This window comes from Homo sapiens (genome assembly GCF_000001405.40).
Source record: "Homo sapiens chromosome 16 unlocalized genomic scaffold, GRCh38.p14 Primary Assembly HSCHR16_RANDOM_CTG1".
NCBI classification, from domain to species: Eukaryota; Metazoa; Chordata; class Mammalia; order Primates; family Hominidae; genus Homo; species Homo sapiens.
This window is the reverse complement of record NT_187383.1, coordinates 1,785,301-1,794,611: the sequence shown is the minus strand read 5'-3', so window position 1 is coordinate 1,794,611 and position 9,311 is coordinate 1,785,301. Positions and strand designations below refer to the sequence as shown.

Genomic DNA, 9,311 nt, shown 5'->3' with positions numbered 1-9,311 from the left:
CTCCGACATCCCCATACCCACTGCATTCCCCAAGCACCCCGTCCTTCCCCAGCCACGGCCCCAGATGCTCTGGGCTGTGCCAGGGCCGGGCGTGCACACCCACACCTTTGCTGGAGAAGTGGGGGGTCCTCGTGGACGGCAGCGCTGTGGGGAGACCCAGAGCCCAGCGGTCGTGCCCTCCACGTGTTCTGGGGGTCCATTTCCCTGAGAGCTCATGTGTGAGGTGGGCCAGGGACCCCACAAGAAAAGCACCTGCATCACCCTCACCGTGGCCAGCGTCCAGCGTCCTGCTAGGACAGAAGCCAGGGTGTTCCAGGCAGAGGCGCCTCTGGCATCCCCACCTCACCCTCTGTGAATGACAACCTTGGGTCCCCGGCATTTCGTGGCCATCACCCCTTGGCGATCCCCACGCAGGGACCCAGCCCACCCCACCCCTCCCTCGCATGGTCCCTTCATGTCAGACCCAAGAGTGTTCACGGGTCCCTTCATGTCAGACCCAAGAGTGTTCACGGGGGCAGCCCCAGGTTCACCCAGAAGCAGCAGGAGCTCTGTTGCAGGACGACCATGAAAGGTGACAGCCACTCCATGGCAACGATGCCAGCCATGGCCCTGAGGTCCCCGGGCACATCCTTGTAGGACAGGACACAGCTCCTCAAGGTGCAGCAGGGGTGACAGGCACCACAGGCTCCCAGCACTGGCACCAGACTGGCATCCAGAGTGCTGTCCTGAGTGGCGGCCGGGATGGGCATGGCAAGACGGGCTTCCCAGAACGAGGGGACCCAGCCTGGGTGGGGGATGGGGCTTGGACAGCCATGAGACGGGAGACACAGAGGAGATGGAGAAGGGGGAAATGGGGGAGAACTGGGGGGCATCAGATACAGGAATGAGGCAGAGCTGGACCCAGCCATGGCTTGCAGCCCTGAGGTCCCGGGGCACCTCCTCGTGGGACAGGACACAGCTCCTCAAGGTGGAGCAGGAGTGACGGGCACCACAGGCTCCCAGCACTGGCACCAGACCAGCACCCAGAGCCCTGCCCAGAACAAGGGGGGACCGAGCCTGCGGAGGGATGGAGCCTGGACAGCCATGACATGGAGAAGGGGGAGTTGGAGGAAATGGAGATGGGCAAGACGGAGGGTACGGGGGAGATGGAGGAGATGGAGGAGAAGGGGGAGATAGAGAACGGGGGAGTTGGGGAAGAACTGGTGGGCATCAGATGCAGGAATGAGGCAGACAGGACCCAGCCATGCCCAGCAGTTCCTAGAGGAGACACGGCTCCCAGGTGGGACTGGGAGGCCTTTATGACTCAGAGCCGGGGAAGGAGCAGAGGCCAGAGGTCGTCACCAGCACAATGCCCACTGGCCGCCTTGCTCAGGCCAAGGGGTTGGACCCCACATGGCACAGGAGCCCCGTCTGCTGCAACCCTAAGATGCACATCCTGTGGCTGAAAGAGATGCGGCCCCTGGGGCGGCGCAGACCCCACGTGGCACAAACGACCCGGCTGAGTCTAAAGCCTGCAGACAAGACCACTCACGCGGCAACACACTGCTGTGTGGCTACAGGAGGGGCCTCGAACCATGTTCCCCATGACCCACAGGCAGACCCTGGGAGGGCAGGGATGCCCCCCGTCGTGCCAACCTCTGTAGAAGTCACATCCCCAGCCTCGGCTGCTGCACATGCCAAGCCAAGCCAAGCCAACCAAGCCAGCCAGCCAGCCAAGCCAGCCAGGCCGGCCCAGCCGGCCAAGCCAGCCAAGCCACCCAGCCGGCCAAGCCATCCAAGCCAGCCAACCAACCCAGCCAGGCAAGCCAGCCAAGCCACCCAGTCAAAGCCAGCCAGCCAGCCAAGCCAGCCAAGCCAGCCAGCCAGCCAAGCCAGCCAAGAGGCCCAGCCAGCCAAGCCACCCAGCCAAGCCAGCCAGCCAGCCAAGCCACCCAAGCCAGCCAGCCAGCCAGACAAGCCAGCCAGCCAGCCAAGCCAGCCAAGACAGCCAAGCCACACAGCCAGCCAAGCCAGCCAGCCAGGTAGCCAAGCCAGCCATCCAAGCCAGCCAAGCCACCCAGCCAGCCAAGCCAGCCAAGCCACCCAGCCAAAGCCAGCCATCCAGCCAAGCCAGCCAACCAGCCAAGCCAGCCAAGCCAGCCAGGCAGCCAGCCAAGCCAGCCAGCCAGCCAAGCCAGCCAAGCCACACAGCCAACCAAGCCAGCCAAGCCAGCCAGCCAGCCAAGCCAGCCAAGCCACACAGCCAACCAAGCCAGCCAAGCCACACAGCCAACCAAGCCAGCCAAGCCAGCCAGCCAGCCAAGCCTGCCAGCCAACCAAGCCAGCCAAGCCAACCAAGCCACCCAGCCAAAGCCAGCCAGCCAGCCATGCCAGCCAGCCAGCCAGGCCAGCCAAGCCACCCAGCCAGCAAGGCCAGCCAAGCCCGCCAAGCCACCCAGCCAGCCAAGGCAGCCAAGCCTCCCAGCCAAAGCCAGCCAGCCATCCAAGCCAGCCTAGCCAGCCAGCGAGCCAAGCCAGCCAAGCCACCCAAGCCAGTGAAGCCAGCCAGCCAGCCAAGCCAGCCAAGCCATATAGCCAGCCAAGCCAGCCAAGCCTGCCAGCCAGCCAAGTCACCCAGTCAGCCAGCCAGCCAGCCAAGCCAGCCAAGCCAGCACAGCCAGCCAAGCCAGCCAAGCCATCCAAGCCAGCCAAGCCACCCAGCCAGCCAAGCCAGCCAAGCCACCCAGCCAAAGCCAGTCAGGCAGTCAAGCCAGCCAGTCAGCCAAGACAGCCAAGCCAGCCAGGCAGCCAGCCAAGCCAGCCAGTCAGCAAAGACAGCCAAGCCAGCCAGGCAGCCAGCCAAGCCAGCCAGCCAGCCAAGCCAGCCAAGCCACACAGCCAGCCAAGCCAGCCAAGCCAGCTAGCCAGCCAAGCCTGCCAGCCAGCCAAGCCAGCCAAGCCACCCAGCCAAAGCCAGCCAGCCAGCCAAGCCAGCCAGACAGCCAGGCAAGCCAAGCCACCCAGCCACCCAGGCCAGCCAAGCCAGCCAAGCCACCCAGCCAGCCAAGGCAGCCAAGCCTCCCAGCCAAAGCCAGCCAGCGATCCAAGCCAGCCTAGCCAGCCAGCCAGCCATGCCAGCCAAGCCAGCCAGCCAGTCAAGCCAGCCAAGAAATCCAGCCGGCCAAGGCAGCCAAGCCACCCAGCCGGACAAGCTAGCCAAGCCAGCCAAGACACCCAGCCGGCCAAGCCAGCCAAGCCACCCAGCTCGCCAAGCCAGCCAAACCACCCAGCCAAAGCCAGCCAGCCAGCCAAGCCAGCCAAGCTCGCCCGGCCAGCCAAGCCAGCCAAGTCACCCAAGCCACCCAGCCAGCCAAGCCACCCAGCCAAGTCAGCCAGTCAGCCAAGCCAGCCAAGCCAGCCAGCCAGCCAGCCAAGCCAGCCAAGCCACCCAGCCAGCCAAGCCAGCCAAGCCACACAGTCAAGCCAGCCAAGCCACCCAGACAGCCAAGCCAGACAGCCAAGCCAGCCAAGCCACCCAGCCAGCCATGCCAGCCAAGCCAGCCAGCCAATCCACCCAGCCAGCCAAGCCAGGCAAGGCAGCCAGCTAGCCAAGCCAGCCAGCCAAGCCAGCCAAGCCAGCCAAGCCACCCAGCCAGCCGGAAAGAGAGAGAGAGAAAAGGAAGGAAGGAAGGAAGGACGGAAGGAAGGAAGGAAGGAAGGAAGGGAGGGAGGAAGGAATGAAGGAAGGGGAGAGAGAGAGAGAAAGAAAGAAAGAGAAAGAAAGAGAGAGAGAAGGAAAGAAAGAAAGCGAAGGAAGGAAGGAAGAAAGGAAGGAAGGACAGAAAGAAAGAGAGAGAAAGAACTAAAGAAGGAGAGAGAGAAAGAAAGAAGGAAGGAGAGAGAGAGAAAGGAAGAAAGAAGGAAGGAAGGAGAGAGAGAAAGAAAGAAGAAAGAAAGAGAGAAAGAAAGAAGGAAGGAGAGAGAGAAAGAAAGGAATAAAGAAGGGTGGAAGGAAGGAGAGACAGAGAAAGAAAGAAGGAAGGAAAGAAAGAAGGAAGCAAGGAAGGAAGGAAAGAGAAAGAAAGAAAGAAGAAAGAAAGAAAGAAAAAGAAAGAAGGAAGGAAAGAAAGAAGGAAGCAAGGAAGGAAAGAGAAAGAAAGAAAGAAAGAGAAAGAAAGAAAGAAAGAAAGAAAGAAAGAAAGAAAGAAAGAAAGAAAGAAAGAAAGAAAGAAAGAGAAAGAAAGAAAGGTACACTGCTCAGGAATCTCCTTTTCCTGTGGCCGGGGCAAGATTCTTTGCATTTTTCTCTGCAGGGAAAAAACAAAACCACACACTCACACACTACACACACACAGCAATAAGCTTTCATCCAGCCGGCACAAGACAGTTTCCTAGAGAGTCTGTACACAGTCACGGTGCTGGAGGCTCAATTTCAGATTGGGTTAAAGTGCCCTGCAAACGGGCATTTGCAGAGGGCATGGGAGAGGCTACTGGAGAATTAAGAGCTGCAGAGACGAGGGTCTCCGGCCATCACCTTTGCAGCTGTAGGAGAGAGGAGGTGATTAGGGAAGCTCCGTGTTCCCTTCTGAGCCTGGCAGGTGCGTTGTCCCCACCCTGCCCCCAGCACCGCAATGCAGGCCCTGCTTTCAGATTTAGCAAAGGTAACTTCCTCTGGCACCCCCAGGCTTCTGCTTCCAGCACAGCGACTGTGACTTGGTGTTTGCACCTCGGTCCTCACAGAATTCGCCCACCTCAACTCAATCTTCCTCTCCTGGTGGTACCATTAATATTTTAATTTAATCAGAATTTCTGGGACTGGCTTGCCATCCTGAACAAACTAGTTACCTGTCAGCCTCTATCAGCTTGTCATATTAGAGAGGATTGTCCTAGGAATCTAATCTGCTTTAAATGATTTCGTGGGGTGTTGGTCTATAAATCATCTCGATGCAGGTCTGACAACGTGAAGGATTCGGTGGGTAAATAAACCACACTTGTTTTATTTTCAGCAGGCACAGACTTTGCTTTATCAACTTCTTATTGATTTTCGTGCTCCAAGAGGTCAAAAAAATGTTTTTGCTTCTCCTTTACATACAAAAACATTATTCATAGAAGAGCTGTGGGCAGGCAACTCTCATTAACATAAGTTCTGAGATTCGCAGGCGAGCTGGCTGGTTGGAGAAACGACACACACCTGTTTCAGCCAAGCCCCTGGTGGAGTTTGGAGTTTCCAAAACGTTGACTTTTCCTCTTTCTGCTCAAAATAGAAATTATATGGATATTAAGGAGCCCCAAGTCTCTTCAGGGATGTGGAGGAACCCTGGACATACAAATACACACACACACACACACACACGTACACACACTCACCACCCCATGCCAAGAAGATACACAGTATACTCACTTACCCTTCACTTGAGTTTGCAAATTTGGAGCTGACTTAATGAAGGAAAGAAAAATTGCAGCTACAAAGTAACACAGAGCCAATGAAAAGACAAAAACCACGATTAGATTTTCTTCTCTTCTAAAGTTTTATTTTATTTTTAAGAATCATCGTTCAGATCAGGCACAGTGGCTCACGCTTGTAATCCCAGCGCTTTGGGAGGCTGAGGTGGGAGAATCACAAGGCCAGAAGTTCAAGACCAGCCTGGGCAACATAGCAAGATCCCATCTCTTAAAAAAAAAAAGTACAAAAGTTAGCTGGACCGACTGGTGTAGACCTGTATTTCCAGCTACTGGGGAGGCTGAGGTGGAAGGATGGTTTGAGTCCAGGAGGTTGAGGCTGCACTGAGCCATGATTGCATCACTGCACACTCCAGCTTAGGCAACAGAACAAGACCCTGTCTCAAGAAAAAAACTCCATAGTGATTGTACACATTTATGACATATAATGTTTCCAAGCACGTGTATATCATGTAATGACACCTCATGGTAATTATCAGATCCAGCTGCTCAGAAATCTCATTTTCCAGTGGCTGAGGAATATGCATTTTTTTTTTTTTTGAGACAGAGTTTCGCTCTTGTCACCCAGGCTGGAGTGCAATGGCATGATCTTGGCTCATTGCAACCTCCGCCTCCCAGGTTCAAGCGATTCTCCTGCCTCAGTCTTCCAAGTAGCTGGGATTACAGGCGTGTGCCACCACGCCTGGTTAATTTTGTATTTTCAATAGAGACGGGGTTCCATCATGCTGGTCAGGCTGGTCTTGAACTGCTGACCTCAAGTGATCCACCTCCCTCAGCCTCACAAAGTGCTGGGATTACAGGCGTGAGCCACCATGCTCTGCAATATGTATCTTTTTTAAAAACTTTATTTTTCCATAAGTTATTGGAGTACAGGTGGTATTTGGTTACATGAGTAAGTTATTCAATGGAGATTTGTGAGAACGTGGTGTGCCCAACACCCGAACACTATACATTGTATCAAATTTGTTGTCTTTTATCCTTCACCCCATTCCCACACTTCCCTCCAAGAAAATCTCTCTTTGGACTATTTTGTAATATTCAATATATTCTTGTTAAATATTGTCACCCTGAAGAGAAATAAAACTATGTAATTTAGTCCTATTTAATTGTAACTTTGTACACGTGGACCAACCTCTTTCCATCCCTTCTTTCTCCCTCCCTTCCCCAGCTTCTGGTAATCACCACTGTGGTGTTAATTCCTAGGAGATCAACTCTTTATTTTTATTTTTATTTTTTTTTTTGAGACAGAGTTTTGCTCTTGTCACCCAGGCTGGAGTGCAATGGCATGATCTTGGCTCACTGCAAACTCCGCCTCCCGGGTTCAAGCTATTCTCCTGCCTCAGCCTCCCCAGTAGCTGGGATTACAGGCATGTGCCACCACGTTTGGTTAATTTTGTATTTTCAGTAGAGACGGGGTTTCATCATGCTGGCCAGGCTGGTCTCAAACTCCTGACCTCAAGTGATCCACCGACCTCAGCCTCCCAAAGTGCTGGGATTACAGGTGTGAGCCACCGCGCCTGGCCAACCCACTCCTCTTTCAGGGGCTTAAATAAAATTTGCTTTTCTCCCCAAAGGCAGGTCCCCACCCCACTCAGCCGTTTTAAAGGGTGGAGTGTAAACGGTGGGTTGCCGAATTCCTGCTGCCGTGAAATACTTCAGCTTAGAGCAGAAAGCCGGGCGCAGACACCATGCTTTATTTCTATTTCCGTGAACAAGAAGTGTCTCTTGCAATCTGCAATATTTTTCGTCAAAAAGTTCACTGGCTGTTGTATCAAATCAGCCACCTCTATAGGGTGTGATCTTTGACAATTTTTTGTTACATCCCGATGGCCGTCTTACCTGGACCATTTTCTTCCTTTCATGGGTGAAGTAAAACTCCTTGGCATACTTTTTTTTTTTTTTTTTTTGAGACAGAGTCTCGCTCTGTCACTCTGTTGCCCAGGCTGGAGTGCTGTGGTGCGATCTCGACTCACTGCAACCTCCGCCTCCTAGGTTCACGCCATTCCATTCTCCTGCCTCAGCCTCCCGAATAGCTGGGACTACAGGTGCCTGCCACCACGCCCAGTTAATTTTTTGTATTTTTAGTAGAGACGGGGTTTCACCGTATTAGCCAAGCTGGTCTCTATCTCCTGACCTTGTGATCCGCCCGCCTCGGCCTCCCAGAGTGCTGGGATTACAGGCACCTGCCACCATACCTGGCTAATTTTTGTATTTTTAGTAGAGATGGGGTTTCACCATGTTGGCCAGGCTGGTCTCAAACTCACGACCTTGTGATCTGTCCGCCTCAGCTTCCCAAAGTGCTGGGGTGACAGGCATGATCCACCACACCTGGCCGCCTTTTCTACTTTCAATTTGCTAACTGGTGAATAATAGTTTGCAGTAATGAGCCCAGAGGGAATGAGTGGAGCCCAGCCACACATTATTAGAACCTGTCACCCAGTGCAGATACTCACCTGGGATGCGGGCAATGATGCTCAACTCAGACCTGTGCCAGTGCTGGTGACTCCGAGGGACCCGGGTGGCTGGAGTCTGTGTTAGACTCAGGAGTCCCTTCCAGGTCCACGCTGTGAAAACAGCAAGTGTCCAAAGCAGTCCACTCAGGTAAGTAAGAAATTGCAGGATGACACTGAGTTCTGTGTGGTTTCCAGAATGTCCTTACAGAAACCGGGATGAGAAGCTGGGAGAGGTGCCTCATGCCTGTCATCCCAGCACTTTGGGAGGCTGAAGCAGGAGGGTCACCTGAGATCAGGAGTTTGAGACTAGCCTGGCCAACATGGTGAAAACCCCCTGTCTACTAAAATTAGAAAAAAATAATTAGCCAGGCATGGTGGCATGCACCTGTAATCCCAGCTACTTGGGAGGCTGAGGCAGGAGAATTGCTTGAACCCAGGAGGTGGAGGTTTCAGTGAGCCAAGATTACGCCCCTGCACTCCAGGCTGGTTGACAGGGCAAGATTCTATCTCCAAAAAAAAAAAAAAAAAGGCCAGGCACAGTGGCTCACGCCTGTAATCCCAGCACTTTGGGAGGCTGAGGCAGGCAGATCACCTGAGGTCAGGAGTTCCAGACCAATGTGGCCAACATGATGAAACCCCATCTCTACCAAAGATACAAAAAATTAGCAGGGCATGGTGGCAGGTGCCTATCATCCCAGCTACTCAGGAGGCTGAGGCAGGAGAATCGCTTGAACCCAGGAGGCAGAGGTTGCAGTGAGCTGAGATCGTGTCACTGTACTCCAGCTGGGCAACAGAACGAGACTCCATCTCACAAAAAATAAAAATAAAAAAAAAACGGGGTGGGGTGGCCCAGCCATTTAGTATACTTTCTCCCCTGGTGAGAACCATCCATTTCCAGAATGTGTGTCACAGAGAGTGGAACACAGGTCCTGGCTGCACTCCCAAAAACTCACTGGTGTCCAGGGATTTGGAAGTATATGGCCTTTGAACGTCTGAACACCCTCAGTTCTCCATCATATTCTCCAACTCCCCTGCATGGAGATGTGGGCCTTTTAGGGTCGTTTCCACCCTTTTAGGGTCTCTTTGCTAGCCTTCCATTGGCAAGAACAATTACCAAAAGGAGGTACCCAGCTCTAACCCTGCAGAACAAACAGAGAGCCCAGTAGCCTGGCAGCCAGAGAGCCTTTCTCTAAAACAGGCATCACTGGCAACCTCATTGAAATGGGATGATTCATTATCCTGTTTCCATTTAATTGTTATTTTGCCGGCAGAAAAGCCTGGAGTTTCTCCGAAAAGCAGCGATGGTGTTGTCCTTTTAGATTCCCCAGGGAATAATCTTAAAAAATTGCCTGCCCAGCTTCCTGAGTGCCCAGCATTTGCCTTCACATTAACTTACGCTATAAAGTACAGATGTTGCAG

The 9,311-nt window shown here is 53.7% G+C and overlaps 1 pseudogene; it reads left to right on the top strand.

Moving 5' to 3' along the window:
- The first annotated feature begins 1,088 nt into the window (after positions 1-1,088).
- Positions 1,089-9,058, top strand: LOC102724066 (uncharacterized; annotated as a pseudogene).
- Positions 9,059-9,311: the final 253 nt, after the last annotated feature.